General features: G+C 47.0%; 1 long non-coding RNA gene across 1 annotated transcript, besides 2 other annotated features; it reads left to right on the forward strand.

Moving 5' to 3' along the window:
• On the forward strand, positions 316 to 23,731 carry LOC112268235 (uncharacterized). The gene is made up of 2 exons (XR_002958352.2): positions 316 to 14,587; positions 22,287 to 23,731. It is a non-coding gene; the product is annotated as an uncharacterized LOC112268235 (long non-coding RNA).
• Positions 4,442 to 4,942: an enhancer, noted in NCBI's record as "H3K27ac hESC enhancer chr1:117025970-117026470 (GRCh37/hg19 assembly coordinates)". NCBI's record gives its function as "activates a minimal SCP1, AML or CMV promoter by ChIP-STARR-seq in naive H9 embryonic stem cells {active_cell/tissue: H9 hESC(naive)}" and the evidence as "EXISTENCE:reporter gene assay evidence [ECO:0000049][PMID:30033119]".
• Positions 20,129 to 20,228: an enhancer, noted in NCBI's record as "active region_1562". NCBI's record gives its function as "activates an Ori minimal core promoter by ATAC-STARR-seq in GM12878 lymphoblastoid cells {active_cell/tissue: GM12878}" and the evidence as "EXISTENCE:reporter gene assay evidence [ECO:0000049][PMID:35858748]".
• Positions 23,732 to 23,784: the final 53 nt, after the last annotated feature.

The raw sequence follows: 23,784 nt of genomic DNA on the forward strand, positions 1-23,784 counted from the left end.
CACCAATGGGAAATACTTTGCAATGCAAATGAGTCCTCCAAAGCCAAGCATTCCCCTCTCCTGCTAATTACTTTTACCTGGTTGCATTAGAAATCCTGGCCAACATGGTGAAACCCCGTCTCTTCTAAAAGTACAAAAATTAGTCAGGCATAGTGGCACACGCCTGTAGTCCCAGCTACTCGGGAGGCTGAGGCAGGAGAATCACTTGAACCCAGGAGGCAGAGGTTGCAGTGAGCCAAGATCGCGCCATTGCACTGCAGCCTGGTGACAGAGTGAGACTCCATCTCAAAAAAAAAAAAAGAATGGCTTCATATTCTGTATAGTCAGGAGCTGGCTCAATGTTAATGTCATTGTCTCTCCTGAAATCACCTGTCAGTGCAAGAGACCTCTGAATTTCCTTTCTTATTTCTTGATCTAAGCATGTATATAGTGTCATGGGCCAGGTTAATTAAAGCTCACTGAATATCACATACTATCCTCTGAACAATCATACGTGTTGCTTCTTTAAAAGCAGGAAAGAAAAAATCAGGTTCTATATGGCCTACCAAGCTTAAATCGTCTCTGTGATGGGAACTGTACAAAAGTCAACAGGTCAACAACAAACACTAGTTTACATACTCAGTAGGTGAAAGAGTGAGCCAATTCATAGATTTCATTTCTGATTGTATTTTTTAACATTTTATTTTCAAAGAATTATAAATCCACAGAAGGTTGCTAAAAGGTGGAAACAACTCAAATGTCCATCGATGGATAAATGGATAAATGTGGTACAGTGGTCCCCCCTTATCCTGGGGGGATACATTCCAGGATCCCCCAGTGGATACCTGAAACTGTGGATAGTACCGAACCCAACTGCTGTCAGTGGGAACACATTTCTGTTCACATATTCCACCTACAATTTAACGCCTTTTCCAGCTTAACTAAACACTTACCAGTATTGTGGTCGTAACTTGCGGTTTGAGGTGTGACAGCAAAACTAGCACGAATTTCTTTTTTCCCTTCACAATTTCACAGATAGAAGATTCATTCCTAACTATAGATCTTAGCAGCCTCAGCATATCATTTTTTTTCTTTCCTGAAGCCGAGAATTTTCACCTTTTCACTTAAAGGAAGCACTTTATGGTTTCTCTTTGGTATATTTGAGTTGCCAGCATCACTACACTTGTGCTTTGGGGCCATTATTAAGTAAAATAAGGGTTACTTGAACACAAGCACTGCGATACTGGGGCAGACAACCTGGCAACAAAGATGGCTATTAAGTCACTACTGGGTGGAGAGTGTAGACAGAGTGGACACGATGGGCAAAGGGAGGGTTCATGCCCTTAGCAGGATTCAGCAAGATTTTATTATACCTCTCAGAACTACTCACAGTTCAAAAGGTATGAATTGTTTATTTCTGGAATTTTTCATTTAATATTTTTGTATTGCTGTTGACTGTGGGTAATTGAAACTAAGGAAAGTAAAATTGTGGATAAGCAGGGATGGGCTACTATACATACAGATAATGGAATAGTATTCAGCCTTAAAAAGGAAGGAAATTCTGATATGTTTCTATGACATGGATGAACCCTGAAGACACTATGCTAAGAGAAATAAGCCAGTTACACAAAGATAAAAACTCTGTGATTCCACTTAGATGAGGCACTTATACGAGTAGTCAAATTCAAAGAGACGAAAATTTGAATGGTGTCTGTCAGGGGCTGGGAGGTGAGGGGAATGAGGAGTTGTTTCATTGGTATGAACTTTCAGTATGGGAAGATATAAAAAGTCCTCTGGAGATGGATGGTGGTGTTTGTTGCATAATAATGTGAATATATTTAAAGCCAACAAACTGCGCCTGTAAAAATAGTTACAATGGTACATTTTATGTTATGTATATTTTACCACAATCAAAAATTGACAAGAAAGTCCCACAGACACTTCACTAGGCCAATCCAGTGTAACAGCTTGCATGACTATAATACATTATCAAAACCAGGGAACTGACATTGGTACAACCCAGACTCATTCAGACTTCACAAGTACTCGTGTGTGTGCGCGTGTGTGCGTGTGTATGTGTGTGTGTGTGTGTGTAGCTCTATGCAATTTTATCACCTGTGTGGCGCTGTTTCATCACAAGCCACTCTTTGTGCTGTCCTCTGTGGCCACACTTGCTCCTTCCTGACAACTAACCTGTGCCTCATCTCTATAATTGTTTCACTTAAAAAATGTTACAAAATGAAGTCATACAGTATGTAACCTTTTGAGATAGGCTTTGTTCACCACATAACTGCCTCGAGATCCACCCACGTTGTTGCATGTATCAATAGTTTATTCCTTTTTATTGTTGGATAGGACTCAATGATATGGATGGAAATGTTTGATTATATTTTTACATCTACCATTAATAAATTCAATTTTCTGTCCACATTAAGACCATCGGTGAATGGACTTGATTCCAATGTGACCACTACAGGAATGGCGTCCAAGGGGCTCACCAGAGCATCCTAGCCTCCACCCACCCATGCAGGGGCTTTTGTCTGGGCCATAGGCTGTTTCATTGAAGAAATGGGTCCTACCGGGCCAGCTGTTCTGCCTACTGACTTTCAGCTGTGGGGACCACAGTGCATAGGCAGTAAGATAGACAGGAACACCTTCAGTAAACAGAGAAGGTACAGTCTCAACCCCCGGCTTGCCCAACCTCAGGGCTGAGACTCCAGCAGTGGCATCATGGGAACAGGCAGCTGGGGTTCCTTTAAGAAGGAAGGTAAACTCCAGCAACAGTTGTTTAAAAATATGATGCTTTCCAATTCTCAGAGGGGAGCTTTTATATTTCCACCACTCACTGTGGCCCAAACCTCACTGTGCTGGAATTTAGCTGTCCCCTTGACTGTTGACCCCAACACAGCATCAACTCCCAGCCCCGAGCCTCACAAAATGCCTGGCCCCCGTGAGCACACAATAAATGTTGCCGCAGGAGTTGGTGTTATTGAAGGAGAGAGGCGAGTCAAAGGGGCCTACAGAGGATGACCAACTCTAACAAGCAAGAGCTGCTTTCATTTCATTTTTAAAACCTGCTACCTTAGCTCTGGCAGGAGCCAGAGTACGAGAGAGGAGCAATAAAACCATCCCTTTCTTCCTCTCACTTCCAGCCCTGACTGCCCTCCCCTCATCCCTTCACACCCCAGATCTTCCTCCCAGACTCTAGGGAGAACTTTGTGTTCTGGGGAGGGTGGGGCTTCTTACTGAAGGGCAGGTGTCAGTGTAGGTGAATAAGCAGGTTGGGTGGGGGTTGGGTGAAGGTGAGGTCACTCAAGGGGACTCTTCGGCCACGTAGGAATGAAGGAACAAGATTGAAGTCACACCCCCCAAAAACCAACAGAGGTTCTTTGAGCCTTTTCCTCCAACTCTCCTTCACCACATCCATGCCTTAGCTTCCCAACCTTGGCCTCTTTGCTATGGGCAACCTGAATAGTTTGCATTTCTAGACAAATAGGTGAAAGAAAAGAGCAGCCATAACCCAACATCCCTGTAACTGGCCCGGGGCCCCAGATCCTGGGACTTTCCCCAACAGCTGGATACTTCTTCCTCTGTGAAAGATAACAGGGATTGGCTGGAGCTAACCCAAAAAGCAAGCAGACATAGACACAGGCTCTTGGAAAAGACCAAATACTACTCAAACCCAGGGATTTGGTTTCCCCACCCCCAAGGACCCAGGAAGAGGTTGCTCACAGCTGGGTGAGGTGCAGCACTTTCCACAGGAATCATGGCCTGGCTCTTTCCAGGGTAGGGGAGGAGCAGGTGCCGCTCCTCTCTGGGCATGCGTGCCTCCTGGGTGTCCTTCATGGAGCTTACACAGTGTGCTTTACACAGAGGCTATGGCCTCTCTGGAAGAGTTAAGATCTTTCTATAGCTCTTGAGATGGAGTATTTAACACCAATAAAGGCTTTCACCACCTCCTCAAAGCTTTGAACTGTTTTGTTTTTTAGAGATGGGGTCTTGCTGTGTTGCTCAGACTGGTCTTGAACTCCTGGGTTCAAGCAATTTTCCTGCCTCAGCCTCCTGAGTAGCTGGGACTATAGTTGCCAGCCTGGGTTTCCATCTATATCTTAATAACCAGAGTTGCTGTGCACTGTATCTAGGATTTGGCTTACTTGGCAAACTCTATGTCATAAAATCAGTATTTCTTCAATAAACTCAATATTTATTTACTATGATCTGGCAGCTGAAGTAGCCCAAACTTCTGACCTATATTCTGTAAGGTGGAAGAGTGGGCCTTTTAGTAGAAATCTCCAAGACCTAAGAATCTCTATTGAGACCCTGGGGTTAATGCAGGCTCCACCAAATCCAAGTGCTGGCTGGGAGACAGGAGTCAGCAGGATTTCACTGAGATGGTCAATTTTTATCCAGAATAGGGCTATGCCTGCATTAATTTGTCACCAGTGGAATGAAAATACAAACCCGCTGAGTATGATAGTTTGATATGAGGAGTGGTCAGTTATATAGAAAATTTAAAACAGAAAGCCCATGAGAAGTTTGCCTTTGGAAATGCCCATTAACTCCTTCCTAACAGGGTGACAGAGAGCTGGTGCCACCACAGGGAGTGTGCTTGTCAGAGCAGACCTCCTCCCCAGGTGGACACCATGACCCTTCACATCCTCCAGATCAAAGCTTCACTTTCCCCTGCTCACAGTGGCTTCTTGGACGACCATGTCTAAACCAGACCCTGCCTGCTATTCTTGACCAGACAGAGAGAACAGCCTGAGTGAAGACTCTGAGGCAGGAGTGAGCATGGCATTAGCAGGGCCTGGCAGAAGGCCAGGATGATGGCCACACTGAGTGCTGGGAAACACAGCACAAGATAAGCCTGGAGAATTGACAAGGGCCGGTCTGTGCAGAACCTGAGGGCCATGGCAAGAAGTCTGCCTTTTCTCCCCATGTCCAGAGCAGGGAAGAAGGATTTGCAAGTTTCTCACACATGCCTTGGCTTAAGCAAAGCTTGCTGGCCTCCTTCAAGCCATAGCACAGGGTGGCGTTTGCCGTGCCTGACTCCCCAAGCTAGGCACTGGGAGTCCAAGTGAACCATCTGGAGGGGTCAACAGTGACGTGAGCAGATAAGCCACAGCACATTGAGCTAGAGGAGGAAAGAGGAATGTGCACATCCCTGCTTGGATGTGGGGGCAGGAGGGGGAGGGCTCCAGGAAACCTCGCACAGATTCTTTGGGCTGCCTAAATCCCGCTGCTCCATGTCTAGGTGGCTGAAGCGCCTCCTGGCCTGCCTCAACCCCTCCTCTGGCCTGTCCTGTTTACCAGCCCTGCCACCTGCCCACTCTAAGAGGCTCCACCCTTCCTTGGAACACGGAGTTCTCTGCCTCTGGACTCTGGGGAGGGTGAGATTGTTGAGGCAGGCGGGCGAGCATGAGAGGGAAGGAAGAGGGAGGGAGGTCAAAGATACAAGGTGAGCTGGAGAAGAAACGGACTGTTTTGAGGATTTCCCCTCACACATTCTGGCTCCTACCTCTGACCGAAAGCAAAGGGAGCAGCTTTTACCAATGGAATGAGGCCAGGGTGTGTTGGCTTACACCCATAATCCTAGCACTTTGGGGAGGCCAAGGTAAGAGGATCAGTTGAGCTCAGGAGTTCAAAACCAGCCTGGGCAAGATAGCGAGACCCCATCTCTACAAAATTTTTTTTTTAATTGGCAGGCATGGTGGCATGTGCCTGTGGTACTAGCTACTTGGAGGCTGAGGTTTGAGGATCTCTTGAGCCCAGGAGGTCAAGGCTACAGCAAGCCATGATCGTGACACTGCACTCTAGCCTGGGTGACAGAGTGAGACCCTGCCTCTAAATAAATTAAATCAATCAATCAATACCAATTAACTAACTAACCAACCTGTCTATCGGGGTCAGTCAGCTCTTATAGTCCCACCTGAATTCTGCTTTGCCTTCTCCTGCAACAGCAACGCCTTCGAAAGTGCTTACTGTGTGCTAGGCAGGCGTTGCACATGGACAGGGACTGGGAGTTCAGATGGCCAGCTGGCCTGCTGTCTGGGGACAGGGGGTTTCCCAGGACCTGAGACTTTCAGTACTAAAACCAGGACAGTCCTGGGCAAGCTGGAACAGCTGGTCACCTGGTGGGAACTGAGCACCCATGGAGTCAGCAGAGAAGGAAGGCGGCACCACAGCATAGCTGGTGGTGGGAGCAAGCAGGAGTCTTTTCCTCCTTAGCACTGGAAGCGCCACTCTTGGCATTTACCTCCCTTCCTGAATGGAGCCCCACCTGTTTTTATGAGGCCTCCCCAGGCCAAGCCCTCAGGATGGGCAGGGGTGGGTTGAGACTGTGCTGTCTCTGCTGTTTGCTAAGGTTGTTCTCATGGTATCACGCTGCCAGAGACTGTCCACTTGGCTCACATTGATGGAGGTCAGCTAAGGACAGGCTGATTAGCTGGCCCCTCAGGGCCTTTCTCTTGGTGACACAGCCTCTGGCTCAGAACAAAGGCCCCTCATTTTGCTGAGGCACAGACTCTTGAACGTGAGAGTGCTGCCACCTGCTGGTCACAGCGCTGCTTCCAGAAGGGGAGCTGGAGCCTCAGGAGGGAGACTGGGCCATGAGCCCAGGTCTGTAGCCTCTCTGTGGGCCACAGCACCACCTCCCAGCATGCCCTGGGCCAGATAGCTGAAGAAAAGAAGCTGGGGACCCCCCTAACAGGTATGCCTTGAAGGGGACTGCAAGGCTCTCTCATGCCAGAACTCTCTCAGGCTGGCCATGGATTCCCAGAATTCCCAGCCAGCGTGGGCACTCTTAGCTATAATAGAACCCTCGGCCCAGTGGTGTGCTGGAGCTGCTGGGCAGGAGGCAATCATCAAATATTCAGGAAATTTACCAGCTGCACTGGTCATGGTGGGAGTATTTACACCATGGAAATTGGCAAAGGCTACAGATTAAGAGTTTTCTCCACCCGTAACTCTTCCTCCAGTGGATTTATCAGTACACCTTTGCAAAACCTCTATCAAACTTAAAATGTTGTCACCTGAGAAGGGGCAAGTACCAGCCTGTTTGTAAAGGTTTCTCAGATAAAGCATCAAGTATGGAATTGGCATCATAGAGAAGAAATACATTCTGATAAGAGGGAGATTGTGAGGAAGGAAATTTTGTTAAGCTCCCTAAGAACAACTAAGGTAATAGTTAAGGGCTCTGCGATGAGAAACACATGGATTCAAGTAGCAGCTCTTCTACTTGCTAACTGAATGATGCTGGTCAAATTGCTTCATCTCTAGCTTCCAGTTTCCCTGTCTGCAAGTGGGGGTATTGGGAGTAGTTGCCTCATGTAGTTGTGAGGTGATGCGTTTGATGAATCTAAGTGCTTAGAACATTGCCAGGCAGAAAGCAAGTGCTCAATACATCTTAGATATTATCAGATATTGATTAGAACCTCCACTTCAGCAGGCTTAAACTGATCTTGACATCTTCCTGGTAAAACCAGTTTCACCTCTAGATGTCTTTTACAGGGTTGGGGAATGAAGACTGGTTCTTCCATCCTCCCCGGCAGCTAACCTTTAACATCAGCCTCGGTTTGGGCTATTCATTTGTACTTGTCCCCTACAGTTAGTATGTAAGAAAATGTATCCCCTATACTCTTAATATGATAAAGTACATCCTGAATGTAAAGTATCTAAGCAGTGAACACTTGCCAAACCAACCCAAAATATTTTGTGTAAATGAGTCACTGGCCAGTTAAGAGGTCAAGTATAGAAAGGGCAGGACTCAGATCCGATTCCAACTCCAAGACCTGAGTCATCCTCAGTTGTATTGCATCTGATTTAAAGGAAGATTATGTTAACAAGACACAAATTGAATAGAATTGGGGAAAATGGGAATCTGAGAGCAGTGCTCTTTCAGTGGAAAGAGACATGGGGCTTAGAGGACATGAGCTCCCCTCTCATGAGAGTGGAGGGCTTGGTTGTGCAGTAAAGAGAGTTGGTGAAGTTTCTATAGAGCCTGATGGACTAAAGCCCAAGAACTGACCTGATGGACTTGCCCCATCCAAGACTCTGGTCACCCCTCAATCTTTGAATGAATACTTTGGCTTCTTGGGTGCTAAAATCCTTGGAAGATGTGTCCTTAGATGAGATACATATATTTCCATTGTTAAAAAGTTATAAATGAGTTTGCATTATACTCTTTTGACTTTTGTTATATGGACAAAGATTAGGTTAGATTTGGTTGCATAAAACAGACAAAACAGTAGCATAAATAAAATGTACATTTATTTCTCTCCCATGTCAATGAAATCCAGATGTTGGCAGCCTGGGACAAGTATGGCAACTCTACAGTCATCATCAGTCACTATCTTATAGCTCCATTATCTTCAACATGAGTTTTTGTCTAGTGGTTTAAGATGGTCACTGGAGCTCCATCCAGGCTGCTTTCTTGCCAACAAAAAAATCATATTTTCCCAAAGTCTGACAAATCACTGCCCAGGTGTACTCATGCAAACCCATTCTGATGCAAGAAAACTGAAAAATGTCTTTATTCCAACTAGGGGTAGGAGGCATTTGCCTAGCTAAAAATTAAGGATTCTATTTTTAATAAAGTAAGGTAGCTAGATATTGGTGGACAGCCCACAATCTCTACCAAAGTAGATCAATTTCCCTAAGCCTGCTCATTTTTGACATCAGAGAACTGCTGCACAACAACCCCCAGGATAAACCACCCTGTGAGCCCAGGAAGAGAAGATGGCTGGATTCCCTCTCAACACTCTCCTGCCTCAGTGTGAATTTAATCCCCATACCCCATAAGCCCCAGAGCCTCCATTCTGTTGCTGCTACAGCACCTGTCCAAAGTTCCCTCCTTTCCAATTTTGGTCTCATCACTAAACTTCAGACCTCCGTGACCACTGGTCTGGACTTTTGCAATAATGCCCTCATTGTTCTTCTGCCTCTACTCACTCTCCAAGCCTTTCTGCTGATGGATTGCTCTTCCTGAGGCACAAGTCCCACCATGATATATCCCTGCTCAAGAATGTCCATGGTTTCCCATTTTCTGCCCTAAAGTCTAAATTCCTTAGAATCCTGAAGGCTTTCTATGACAAGGCCTTTCCCTGAATTCCTAAGCTCATCACTCTGAAGACACTTGGAGATCCAGCAAGTGCCACTCCTTAAATATGACTTGAACACTTCTGCCTCCATGCCTTCCTTCCTGCTCTTCTTTCTGCTTGGCATGCTCTTCCTTTGTCTCAGCCTGCCTAAATCCTACCCATCTCACAAAGCTCAGGACAAAGGCCTCCTCCCCCATGAAGCTTTGCCCAAGCTAGAATGACCGTCACCCTCCTAAGTGTTGCCACAGGGCATTATGCTTCCATTCGGCTCACATTACAAGTATTTCTGTGTTCCCTACTAGAGTGGGGCTGGGCTATGCTTGCTTGCTCACAGCATCTCACATTAGTGCCTGCCATATCAGCAACATGCAATGAGCGTTGGTAGAACTGAATTGCAGAGTACAGCTGGGGCTCCGTGGAACAGAACCAGTTGGAAATAGGATGTGAATGAGAACAGCTCACAGAATGACCTGCTGTGCCTGCCAGAATTTGGAAAGTTGGGGTGACCACTGACACCACTCTGGGAGCAAGTATTCGGGTTCCACTTAAATATACAAATGTAGGCCCAGGACTTCCACCAAAATGAAGCCCCTTCTGGGCTTGTGTTTGAGGAGCTGTATAGGGTGATAGAGTGACACTGGTAAGGATTGCTGTCCTCTCTACTTTATTTTTTTTTTTAAGGTTCAAGATCTGAGTTGCCATAAAAATAAAAACCTTGGTGGGGGTGGGGGTGTGGAGGGATTTGAAAGAAAACTGTAAATTATCAAGAAAAATGATTCATTTCTCAGATGAAGACCCTCAGTCCCAGAAAAGCAAGGGTGAGTATGCCCAAGGTCACCCAGCCAGGGTGAAGGGTGGGACTTAGCCTGTCCCAATCCCAGTCTACTATTTTCTGCTCCACCACCATAGCTGCCCAGGGTGAAGACACCATCAGTTCTTAAGGTCACTTCTAATTTGGGGAAATAAAAGGTCTTGAAGGTTACACAGAGATTTGTGCACTGCTGATCTTAATTTTATGCTTGCCGTCATAAAACCAGTTTATGCTTATACAACTAAAGGGGGAAGACATGCATCCAATTCTCTCAGTTTCAGTTCTTTGTCTTTGCATCAGTTATTTAGATTTTTCCCTTCTCTGCTCATTATCACTTTTCCTGAGGAGGTAACAAAATGTCTTTTTCAATTTTCTTCTGGGACTAATTCTCACTGGGATCACCCATTTTTTTCTCCAGTTTGCAACTGGCTAGATTTGATTGGAATAGATAAGGCCTCCGACCATAGGCTGTTGAAAGGCCCTTTGTTTGTGGATTACAAGCGGTCATTCAGTTTATCCCATTCATTATGCGACCCTACTTTTTTGAGTTGCAAGGTTAAGGCCTGGGGCAAAATGTTGATGGAAAGGAACATTAAGCACCAAGTAGTACCGTGTTTGTGTTCATTCCAATCCACATTCACCTCCCTTAACTGGTGAAGGTTATGACTACAGCCCACTCTCTAGTGACTCATTTCAGGAAAAGGACATGTGACAAGAACCTGTCTCACATGGGACTGCTTGCCAGGGGTGCCAGGACAGAGATGGCATTGTTCAGGAAAGATTCAGGAAGTCAAACATCCGGAGAAAAGCATGCATGGTTAACTCACCCCACAGGCTGGATGAGAACATATTTTTTTTCTCACTGATCAATCTGTTTATCTACTTCTACAAGGGCACTCAGAGGACTTCTGGAATAATTATTCCTTTTGGTCTTAAATGCAGCTTTCCTGATGGGCCAGGAAAGGGAGAAGGGATAAGTATTCCTGGAAGTGTTTTACCTGTTGTCACATTAATTCTATCCTCCCAATAGCTTTTTGAGATCAACATTATCCCCACTCTCAATGTATAAATGGGGCAATTTAGATAAGGCAAGTTAAGGAATTTGCCCAGGCCTATCTGCTACTAAGTGGCAGACACAGGATTCAAACTTGGATCGAGGTTGACATTGAAGTGTATTTCCAATGTCAGAAAATGTCCTCTTTCCATGCTAGTGCCCAGGTTTCCTCTCAGACAAGTAGCAGCTGCTAAATGCTACTGCAGAGCATTGTCTCTCCCAAACACATCTCTGTTCTGACCTCTTTCCATCTAGCTGTCCTCAAAACCCACACAAATTCCACCTTCTCCATGAAGACTTCCTGATCAGCCCGTCCCAAGAGACTATGTACAGTCTCACACGCGCTCTCTCTCTTCTACCTCTGTAATCCTCTCTGCTTGCACTCCTGGTTTAGCCCTTAATAGATATAACTTAGTGCATATAAACTTTCACTTGCATACGCAAACTCCCAGCTGTACTATAAACTCCTCAAGGACATGAACAATGCCTCTGTTGAGCCCTGAGAATTTGTAGCATAACGAATAATACCAACTAGCTGCTGCAAAATGCGTGTTGAATAATTAACTGGTTAATTTTTAGGAGAGGATATGGGAGTCCTCATGATTCTGTTAAGTAGACAAGCATGGAAAACTCAAAGGCAAGTAGTTGTCTCTTTGGCTAAGACTCCCCTTAGCACCACAGTCTGTAATTCACTCACCAAATCTTTCTGGGTGTTTTAGAGAAGATGGACATTGCTCTGCACTGAAACCATGCGTTAAGCCCTCTGCCGGTTTTAGGGCAGACTAAAGCACCCTGCCCAAAGCTCAGAAGGTTCAGGTGAGTTCAGAAAGCTCCAGGCTTTCTGGCAGCCTAGTATGTTCCCTTAGTCTTTTCCCAGTCTGGGCACTCACTCCCAGCTCCTCCCCAGGTGTCCACCTCTTAGCCTCACCCCAGGCCTTAGTGATGACAGCACTAGGCAGCAACTGGTATCTCCCCTGGAGGCAAATATGCCTGCACAAAGCCCAGACCTTATGCTCTTCTCTCCTGGGATTCTGCTTATTTTCTTTCTCCTTAACTTATTGCCCCTTCTTCTATGTGGTCTGTTAATCTCCAGATCTTTGAGAAGGATGACCATGATGTCAGAGCACGGGCCTTGGCATGGCCTGTCTGCATCTCTCTACTCTCCGCTCCCCGCAAGATTCCTGGGTCATGTGGGGCTTCCTCAGCACCCCCTCTCCATGCAGCTCCTCCTCTCTGAGTCTGCCTCCTGCCTTTCCTTCCAGCCCCATCCAGGGTGTGGAGAGAGCTCTTGACCACAGGTGGAGGTGCCCTTCCCCACACCTGATGAGCTCTGTCCACACTTGGAGACCAGCTTGTGCCCTATGGGTCTGAGCCTGGGCCTGCCTGTCCCCCAACCTGGCCATGAGGGCCCTGAAGCCACCATCACGTCTTACCTTTATTTCTGATGCCTAGATCTGTGACTGTCACATAGTAAGTGGTCAATCAATATCAACAGAAGGTGGAAATAAATGGTAAATGAGTAAACAGTCTTGGTTCTGCTCTATGAAAATACCGAACACATCAACTCACTCTGACATTAACCGTTTAGACACTTAAAGCAGGCCTCTGAACTAGACAGATCTGGAAGCATCACATAGATCACCAATCACCTCATCTACAAGATGAAGACCAAGACTGGTAAGTGGCTTGCACAAGGTTATACAGAGTGTGAGTGGCAGACCCAGACTGGATCAGACTCTCTGAGTCCCTGCTGAAGGCACCATCTCAGCCATGCTTTCAGAGTAAGAAAGCTTTGCTTCTAAAATACCTAGTAATTCAGACTTTTCTCCCAATTATTTCTAATTAGTAACCTACCTAGCACTGATGAGTTCTTGAATATATGCATGCATGCATGCATGTATAAGTGAATGAATGAATGAAGGCGAGGTCATGCTGGATTCACAGCAGCAGCAGTGCAGCTTTTCCAATAAAGGCACTAGGGATGTGTGCAGGATTGAGGTGATGCGTTTAAGGCATCTTTCTGCCTCACAACCCTGACACTGTGCATACCCGGGCTCTGCCATCGCCCCTACTCTGCAGACTGACAGAGGCTGTTCTGAGCTGTCCTTGCCAGCACCATTCTTGTTGAAACTATTAGGTTGCTATTGTTTTTAGCAAACAAACAGCTGATGCCTCATAGAAAATTTAGCATTTGCTCATTCCTGTTCCATTTATCTTTTAGTTTGTGCATTTTCTCTTCTTTATTAGCAGGGCACTTACTGGAAAACTAGATCTCTGTCACTTACTGGTTTCATATGTTTCTTCTGTTCATAACCTACCTGGAGTCAGAATTATGTCTCTGTCACAGAGCAATTGGTTGCTATGGAAATGATCATAGCACCCCAGACAGGAGGCCTGCGTTGGAGAGAAGAGGGAGTGCTGTGCCCATTGGGGTGGGGGTGGGTATGGGGGAGGTGCTGCAGGAATCCTGAGTGTGACTTTTTAAGCTAGTACTGACTTGTCTAGGCCAACCTGGTCATCTTGACCCTCTTCCTACTCAAAGTTGTGTGTGTGTGTGTGTGTGACACTTCACTTATCCACACTCCCACGCACCCCACCCAAATATAAAACAAATGCTTCCCCTAACTTCTCTCTTCTACCTCCAAGTCCAACTTAAAGTTCACCTCCTCAATCTTCTGTGGTTAACCACCCCTGACTAACCCCTTCGCCAATCAAACCCCCCCCCCCATTCCTAGTGAGTTTGTACTTAATTCAATTGCATTGGAATCACTTGCATTCCTTCTCCTGGGCTTTTTTTTTTTTTTTTTTTTTTTTTTCTTACCGGGCTTATGTGCTTTATCTTCCCAACAGTATCCAGGCCCCACAGAAGTCCATCTGGGCCAGTTGGTTTTATCTTCCCACAGAGCCCAAGCCAAGCTTGGCTGACCACAGGCCCCTGATAAATGCTGCCCCCGACTCTCAGAGAGATGGACAGTCTCAGCCCCTGAGCCTGTCCACTTTAACCCATCCAATCTTACCTCCTGAGGATCAGTATGCCTAGAGCAATAGGCAAATTAGACAGCTCTGGATATAATTTTAAACACTGTCAACCCAATGAAAGGAGAAAAACTCTAAAGCTTCATTTGCCTAAAACGTCCTCAGATGAAAAAGGAAGAATGAGAAAACAGTTTAGTTATTTAAAACTGTCTTATTTTTGTGGGTTTTAACTCATTTATGTTTCAAGTTTGCCCTTAGTCTTGGTTGCCTGTCACCCACAGCAACTTTGACCTCCAGAACCCTTAGGGTTCACATGCAGTGACTCTCCCTTCTGGGTTTCCACTGAAGGACCTTGCGGGACTGTCCAGGTCAATGGCAGCTGTACATGGTGGGAGAACCTGGGCCTGTTCCAAAGTGCTTTATAGGACAAGGTTAAGCTCACAAACATGAGTTGTGGACTTGGGGCCTTTCCTTTGTCTAACGGGCAATATCCTTACATCCGGGACCTGGGGGTGCCGAGCCCGTGAACTTCCCTTGCGGCCTGTGGTTGGAGACAAATAGCTGTGCTGGCTCCGTTGGCAGAGTTGGTGTTGGTTTTGGTGCCCCAACCTCCTTTTTCTGGAATCTGCCCCATATTCAGTCCCCAGATGGAAGTAAGCTGATACTCAGGTAAGAAGGGGGCGAAAGTCAGGGTGCCTCTAGTGTGGAGTCGACGCTAGGGCTGGACGCCATGGTTCCACATCCCAGAGCCCATCTGAAAGACCTTCTTTGGCGTGCCGCTCAGAGCTGCTCAGAGAGCGTGGAGCTCGGCCCCCAGCTCAGCCCAGGGCTCTGTGCACTCATGGAAAGGGGCATCGTGCCTGGAAACGCGAGCGGCCATTCTGGCGCAGGGACAGGGCCTGGGCGTCTGTGTGTGCTCGTGCCCAGTTGAGAGACTTGGACGGGGCGCGGAGGGCTTGCTTCTTTCCCAACCTAAGGGCTGTTTCAGTGAGGTCGTCCTTCTGAGGCCTGAGATGGTGCCGGGGGTGGCCTCACCAGGAAAAGGCGCAAGGCAAACATTGAACAGACAGGCTGGAGCTCCCAGGAGGAGCTTTGGTCCGTGGCAACTGGGAGAAGGGCCTCTTTTGGGGACAGCTGATAAAAAAGCTGCCACCCTATCCTCCAGCTCCCCCACCTCAGGGCCCCACTGGAAGACAGGCTTGACTTTCTTCATCCCGCGCAGCACGGGCTTGGTGAAGCTGGAAGGAACCCTCTCATGCAGTCTCCCGGCTTCTGCTTCCGACTGAACCCTCCAGCCTAGGCTTCAGGCCAGGCCTCTGTCCCCACACAATGGGGACTTGGATAGTGATTTTTAGGATTCTTTCTAGCTTTCTACCCTGACTAGAAAAGAGAAGAGGAAGTGCCCCGTTGGCTCTGCCGTGGACCAGAAGACCTTCCCCTACTGCTCATATTTAGTTAGCAATTACCCAAGGTGTCCAAGGCCCCTCCAACACTGTCACTCACTGCTAGGAGAGGCCAGAACTCCAACTCAGGCTGTGCGGCTGGCTGCAAGGGGGTGACGTCTGGGTTAGCTGTTTGGAGACGGAACCACAGGTCAGCTTTAGAGCTGATGGCGCCTTCATGGGCACAACGGGAAACCAAGACAGGCAGTTACCAAGTGATCCTTCAGCATCTGGGCGAGACGCTTTGTCTTTCCCAGAGAAACTATTTCAATGAGTTCTTCCCGGGAGAGAGGGAAAACAAAGCTCAAATACCAGAGCCGCAGAAACCGCCTGAGGCTGATTTGCTCTGACAGGCCGGCGGCTGCCCTCTCCCAGGGACAGCCTTGGTCCAAAAGAATAAAGGAGACCTTGCAGGCCAGAACCCAAAAGTGCAAGGTGCAGGTTTGCAAAGTGTGTCCCTCAGGCTCTGTGCATCCCCAATCCAGAAGTTGAACACCCATCCACATGGTGCCTTCACAGCACATGAAGAAAAAGAGGGGCAGGTTGCAGAGGAGCAGGACAGGGGGACGTGTTGCCAAGAGCAGGCAAAGGTCTGACCTGATGGCAGCTCTGAATTGGGTCTGGCGGGAGTTGGAGGTAACTGCATTATGGGAAAGACTGAAAGGTTAATATGAAACCAGCTGATACTGAAAGAGAACAATTAGGAAGGTTAAGGGGTTTAATATTAGATAAATGGCTGCCAGAGGATAAAGTTCACAACTTCCATGAAAGAAGTCTGACTCAGAGAATTCTTTTTAGTGGACCAGACCAAGGTCTGATTTTGTTATTTTTTTTTCTTCCCAGTAACTGAGAGAAAATTACCATTCATTCACATAAGATTCATTCTCTTCCCTCCTCCTGCTCCTTCCTCCGGCTTCCCATCTCTCTCCTGTTTGGAAATGTCTGATTTCCTTCCAGTTCTGGAATGAATCAGGGTCCCACCTTCCAGTCTGCATACCCCACACTCCTCTCCACCTGTAGGGGTTCTTTCTCAGTGAGATTTGTGGGGCCCTACAAGAATATTTTTGTCAGTGTTGCTTGTATTCTGGAAATATTTCAGGCCACTAAGCGATCTCACAGATCAGTAGTCAACCCAGGCGAGACATTCCGAGCCAATAAGGAGTTAACCCAAACATGGGGAGACGGGCTGGTTGATTTGAGGTGGCTGAGGAGATTGGGGGAGATGGGGAATTCTCATAGTCTCCAAACCCAGCAATTCCTTCCTGGGAGTTTTTTAAACATTCCTTCCTGGGAGAAGGGCCTCTGATGGGGACAGCTGATAAAGGAGCTGCCACCCCCTCCTCCAGCTCCCCACCCCCGTGCCCCACTGGAAGACAGGCTTGATTTCCACATCCTGCCTAGCACGGGCTTGGTGAAGCTGGCAGAAGCCCTCTCATCAGTCTCTGTTCTTCTGTCTGGACTGAACCCTCCAGCCCAGGCTTCAGGCCAGGCCTTTGTCTGAACAGATTCCCAGGCCCCACCCACCCTCGACTAACTGAATTTGAATCTTTGAGGGCACAGTCTGGGCATCTGCATATTCTGAAGTTCCTCGATGACCCCATGACCTGCCCAGTTTGGGAACCACTGGCTCAGGGGCCACATGGAAAAAAGGCCAGGCAGGGAGGGGCCGGGGCCTCTCAGACTTTGGGCTGGGCCATTTGTGTGATTCCCTAGTTCCCATCCCAGCCAGTGAGTTTCTTGGAGCAGACATTTCCTCTTACTTATCCCCTCTTACAATCCCCACACAGGGCTGGCCACGTTTAGTATGTGGGAGCTGAATTAAGTTTCCAAATCTCATGGCTCATGTCTGTAATCCCAATATTTTGGGAGGCCAAGGCGGGAGGATCACCTGAGCCCAGAAATTTGAGACCAGCCTGGGCAACATGGGAAGACCCTGTCTCTACAAAAATTTAAACGTTAAAAATATTTTTTAATTAAAATTTTGAAATGTCTCCCCTTCCTAGACCCTGAACCTGTTCAGTTCTCAAGTTGACATGTTCAGAGGCCTGGCTGGTAGAGCCCGGGCCTGGTCCCACAGAATCAGCATGGTCCTGAAACACAAGAGCACAGGAGGCAAAGCTGGAAGGGCCCTTAGAGAACCTCTAGTCCAATAGCTTTCAAATTGTAATCCTAGGTACCCTGGGGTCCCATGGTGGAACCTCAGAGAGCAGGAAAAGGGAAGGGCAGAGGCTCAGTGGGAGGAAATGCCGGCCCTCCCCCCACCTCCACCCTTCCTTCAACCAGGCCAGCTCTGCTTTCACAGCTTTGTGTGACTTTCGCAATAACCAAATGGCTTCCAAGCTTCTCCCCTTGCCAACCCCACCCCCAGCCCCTGTCTATTTTCCATCTGGTGTCCAGAATGATCATTTCAAAACATAAGGCTCATCATGTCCCTCTTCTGTTCAAGACCCTACATTTGGCTTTCCATTTCACTCAACAGCAATCCAAGGTCCTCTTCATGGCCGGCAAGTCCCACCTGTTCTCACCCCGGCTGCCCCTACCTCATCTCAGCCACGCTGGCCTCCTTCGTATCCCTGAATGCACCAAGCAGGCTCTTATCCGACACCTGGGCAGGTCTTCTTCCTTCTGCTGGAAACACTCTTCCCCAAATAGCTGCATCCCTTGCTTCCTCTTGTCCTGACCACCCTATCAAAAAAGGCATCCTGTTCCATCAGCCCAGCCCCTTCCTGTACTGTACTGACTGTCCCTACTGAAATATAGGCTCCACGAAGGGGAGGACTTTGTTTTTTTTTCACTGCTATGTCCCCAGCACCAAGAACAACAGTGGCTGGCACATAGTAGGTGCTCAATAAATAATGATTTCCTGATTTAATCAGATTGGTTTTGAGTCTAAAGTTATTTTGTACGTTTTCTTCTTTACACATTTCTCTATTTTTCAAATTTTCTGCAGTAAATATGCATGTTTTTACCATCAGAAAAAGCAGTAAATGACATAGTCTTTTCTCTAGGACCAATCTTTGGGAGACTCAGAGCTGCTAGAGAATAATTTAAGAAGATGAAGGGAGGCCCTGCCTTGAGCCCCTGGTTCTGAGCAGCACCAGGTCGGTCCTGGTAGACTATAACAATACCACTGATTCCTAATGGTGGATGGGGGAACTTAGTGGGGCTAAGCAGACCCCACTTACCTAACAGCATTTTGTCTTGGGGTCACTGGGGAAGGAGAGAGAAGGAGTGAAAACACGACCAGCAGCAACCCCCTCCCCACTGAAATGCACCAGGATCTCCCTAACCCGATACAACAGACATGAGGACATGGGCTCCCAAGCACCCTCCAGTAAGGCATTGTGGCCATAGGTCATTCTTTAACTGGCACAACTGGCTTTTCTCAGACAGACTTTCTCTTTATTTTCTTCAGGGACTATTACTCTGAGGCCTAGTACCTGCTGCCTCTGCTTATATGACTGAATCTAGAACAAAGAAGAAACATCTTAGCTGAGGGGTCAGGGCTCTGGCCTGACAGAAACCCTGTGGTCTTGTCTCCATGTCAGAGCCCCATGACTCCAAGTGGGTGGGAGTCCTGGGCTCGCCCATGACTCATTGTTCGAGTTCGTAGAGAACTCAGAAGTTCCATATGGAAGCACAGCCTCACAGGCTAGAGACAATTCAGGAAACGAAAGCCCCATTCACTTGATTATTGGTTCATTTTCTGATGGAAGCTTTGCTGATCCTCTTTCATAAGGACCATCTGAAATAGACAACTGAAAAGAGAACTAGGGGGCCATTTCCCTTCCCTCCTCTAGCCCCTGAGCTCGGTCATCAGAGTCATGTGGACCCTAGCCCCTGGAGCTGGATAGGGCCCAGGGGTCATCTGGCCACTGTCTGTTTCATTGTGACTTACCAGGCAGGCCCCCTGATACTCAGGGACACAGCTGCCTGCCTCCTGGGCTGACTTTCCTGCAATGCTCTAGAGCGGAGCCAGCCAGCTTCTCCAAGAAGCCGGTGGTAAATACTCGCTCTGGGCACTGTCACCTTTTCTTTGTTTTTTCCTTACAACCCTTTAGAAACATAAAACCATCCTGAGCTCACGGGCTTCACAGAAACAGGCTGTGAGGATAGGCAAAGTACAGCCCATGAGCAAGACCCAGCCCACTGCCTGTTTTTGTAAAATAAAGTTTTAGTGGACACAGCCCTGCTGATCTCTTGATGAATTGCCTATGGCTGCTTCCACGCTACTACAATCGTGGAATTCTGTAGTTGAGACAGAGCCTGTAAGGTCAATAAAGCCAAAAATAGTTTCTATCTGTCCCTTCATAGAAAACATCTGCCAAGCCCTTCTCTAAAGTTTCATATGCATTCGTTCCTATTTAACACTCAAAACAATTTTTGAGATTAGTATTAGAGATGAGTATTCCTAATCTTACAGATGAAGAAACCGAGAACGAGAAAGGATAAGGCTTGCTCAAGGTCACATGGCTAATGAGGGGCAGAACCAGAACCCAAACCCAGATCTCATCTCTAAACCAGGGCTTCTTCACCTGGTGAAGCCGCTCCCGAAAGGTGGCAATTGTGAAGCGTGGAATATATCTCCTGTTCAGCCCCATCAAGTAGGGTAGCAGCAGGTTCCTTGGTGCCACGGTCTGAGAGAGACAAACTGACCTTGAACAGAAACTCTTAAGATTCTCACCAAATCCCACTGTGCAGAGAATGTCTCCAAGCCCAGTGTGCTCTCTGTGCACAGGAAAGATTCCTTTGGCAAGCTGGCTGGCTGGCAGGAGAGCTGTCCCCTAAAAGCCAAGTTTGGCTTCTGTTAAACATTTAACAACAGGTCGTCACTTCACTGTGAAGAGCCACAGAGCTGCTGCCATCTTCCCATGGAGACGTGGACTGCCCTTGGATCCCCCCAGGTCCCAGGGCTGCCATTTCCTCTAACTGCTGGGAACAGCTATGCCATTATTTGTATGAGAGAGACCCCCAGTGGATATTGCTGGTATCACTGTCCCTAAAAGCAGCTCGGCAAACACCTTCCAGGCTCCCAGAAGCTGGGTGTGTTCAAGATTATTACATTTGAGTAATTGCCCCAGTACCTAAAACCCAATGAGCATTGTCCTCTTCAAAATCCTTCCCGAGGGAGGTTGGTGCCTGCATGTTCTAACAATGCTGCCATTTCACAGAATGTATTTGGAACGCTTCCTTCAAACCTGATTTTTTTTTCTTTTTCTTTTTCTTTTTCTTTTTTTTTTTTTTTTTTGTGAGACGGAGTTTTGCTCTTGTTGCCCAGGCTGGAGTGCAATGGTACGATCTCGGCTCACCACAACCTCTGCCTCCTGGGTTCAACCGATTCTCCTGCCTCAGCCTCCTGAGTAGCTGAGATTATAGGCATGTGCCACCGTGCCCAGCTAATTTTGTATTTTCACTAGAGACAGGGTTTCTCCATGTTGTTTAGGCTGGTCTCGAACTCCCAACCTCGGGTAATCTGCCCGCCTCGGCCTCCCAAAGTGCTGGGATTACAGGCATGAGCCACTGCGCTTGGCCTGCACCTGATTTTATTATGACCTTTCACATGCTTTTAGAGTCTTTTCTGTGAGGCAGATCTGACTTCCCAGAACAGCTTGGTCTTTGTAAAACTTTGTTTTAGCTGCTTTCAGCCTAGCTTTGCTCCAGAACCTGTTTTTTGTGTTCCATAGTGTTGCTAATTCTGGTGGTTGTTATTGTTTGCAGTTTTTTATTTGAATTGGATAACAAAATTATGCATTAGGATTTCCAGCATTTCTGGAAAAGTCAGAAAGCACTTGTTTTGAGTTCTTGCTCAGTAGCTAATAGCTGAAACTAAAGAGGAGCTGTTGCCCTCTTTGGACAGGTAAGGATTCTCCAGTTTGCCACAGTCCCCACCACTCCGTATTGCCCCTTATTGGCTGTGCTGGTGTTTGATTGCATTGCCTTGTTGGTCCCTAGAGAAGTTTTAAAGTTATGTCATACATACAGAATAATTGCCATGAAAATAGCTGCTGCCACAGATCCCAGACACTATGCTGAGCACAGTATGTACATGTTCTCATTTAACCCAGTGAGATAGGTATCATTATTCCCAATTTACAGACATAGAAAGTCAGGGTCAGTAAATGTCAGGATCAGAAAATGTCTTTATAAGGGTTGAATTGCATTTCAGTTTGGACATCTGCATTTTACCATGTCAGATAATGAACTCCTCTAACTGGTTTAGGAGATGTGACTGGCTCAGTAAAGGCCTCAAATAATCACTAGGTTTTCCTCTTTTTCCACCTGCAACATATTCAAGAATGGTTAACCCTGATCTCAAGTCATGAAGTAAGCAAAGCGTCTTTGATGTTAAAGACACTGGAATATCCTCCCCTTTCTTCCTCAGCATATCTGTCTTGAACCACACACCCATGCCAAGTGCGCAGTACTCAGATCTTCCCGCAGGGCCCAGGGACCCCACTGTGACACAGTGTCTGGGCCTCAACTCTAAGACAGCACCTCACCTTCCGGATTTTTCCCATCCCTTTTTTCTACCAAAACATCCTTTGCTGTGTCCCGTACATTCAAGCTCTTGATAAGTGACTAACTACTTAATTTGATAAGTGATTTGGGAGATAAGTGATTAACAGACTCATTTATTCTTCTAAAAATTACTTATTGAATGTCTATCCCCTCCTCTTAAAACCATATGAGGGCTACCAATTGCTCCTAAGAGACTAATGACCAAAATCCTTCATAAGGCCTAAAAGGCTTGTGAGACACTGTGTCTGCTGGCCCCTCCAGCCATCGTCTCTGCCCAGCACTCCCCCAGCCTTCTAGTTCCTCCAGCATCCCTTGTCTCCATCTACTAAGACTTTACACTAACCCCGTCCTTGGCCTGGAAAGCTCTTTCACCCCTCTTAGCTGGTAACTGCTTTTTTGTCTTTCAGGTTGCTATGAAGTCACAACTTCATCAAAATGCATTCCATGACCTCACTGACAGGTTCAAATTGCACCATGAGACATGCACTGGCACCATGAACCTATCAGATAAAGTGTCCTGAGGGCTGCAGTCTTGCATTTATTTATTTGATGAACATACCTCTACCTCATCAGACAATGAGCTCCATGATGTCATCGTGGAGGGATTTTATCTGTTTCTAGTCGCTTTTGCTTCCCCAGTGCCTAGATGCCTAATTCATATTTGTTGAAGGGAAATGGGGTAGGGTAGAGGAGGAGGGAGGAAGAAATTTCTATCGCTTTCTACAGTTAAAATGGAGAGAATCTAAAGAACTTTCCCAAGGACACAGAGATAGTAAGTGACACAGCAGGACACTGAACCCAAGTTTCCAAGGCACGTTTCTTTTCCACCCTATCATAACTTTCTTCTAGGGCCTTGGCAGGCCTCTGTGTGCTGTGATAATCACACCCTGAAGATTATTATGACATTGGAGGCATGCCCGGTCTGGCTCCAGACAAGGTGGTGCATGCAATATCATGGAGCTGCAGCAGTGTCACTTAGCCACATGTAGGGCAGAATGATGCTAGGCATACCCTGACAGATCTCTGGGTGACATAAAGATGACTTCGACTTGGCGCTATCCAGGTGGATTCCTGGGGGCGCCACAACTAGACTTAGCAGGAGTATAAGATTTAGGATAATCAGCCTGCTAGAAGAAGAAAAGCAACCATCTATTGTGCCCTTATCATATGCAAAACTCTTTAATGACACTATTTGGTTGATTCTGACATAAGACCTTCTAAAGAGATACTATTTCCCCCATTTTACAGATGATGAAACTGAGGTCTGGAGACCGAGTTGCCCAGAGTCACACAACTGTCAGTAGTCATGGAGGAATTAGCTTTGAAATGCAGATGTGTCTGATTTTGAGCAATTTTTATTCTGTGATGGAGCGCAGCCTCAAAATAGAACAGAATGCTCAACTACCTCATATAGAATGTGAGAAATAACCCAAGAAGTAGAAAGAATGAGAGGGAGCTGGAATGAACCATCATGGCTGGAGGTTCAGTAGAAGGTTGCTGGCCCTGGGAGCAAGGCCCAGGACCCAAGGAAGAAGGGTTGGCTGGAGCCATAGGAAGAAGGGATGCAGCCAGAACAGCACCGCAGCTGACTGAGGCAGGTGCAGAAGAAGCTCAGGCCCGGGCAGGAAAGGACCTCGCTTACTTGTTTAGAACGTTACACAAAATGCAATGCACCATCAATTCTTGGGTCATCCCCTCCCTCTGCATTCTTTTTAGCAAAAGGAGTTATTATTTCCACTTTCTATGAAAACATTCATTTCTTCAAAATCAGATATCCTAGATCTAGAAGAAAAAAGTGGGTAAAATGAACCAGCTGTACAGTTCAAAGGAAAATATAGTGATGCGCTCTGTCCTTTGTGTTGTGTCTCTGCCGCCTGCTTCTGAGAAAGGGGCAAGAGGGGAGGA

Source organism: Homo sapiens, chromosome 1 (assembly GCF_000001405.40).
Source record: "Homo sapiens chromosome 1, GRCh38.p14 Primary Assembly".
In the NCBI taxonomy this organism is placed as follows: Eukaryota; Metazoa; Chordata; class Mammalia; order Primates; family Hominidae; genus Homo; species Homo sapiens.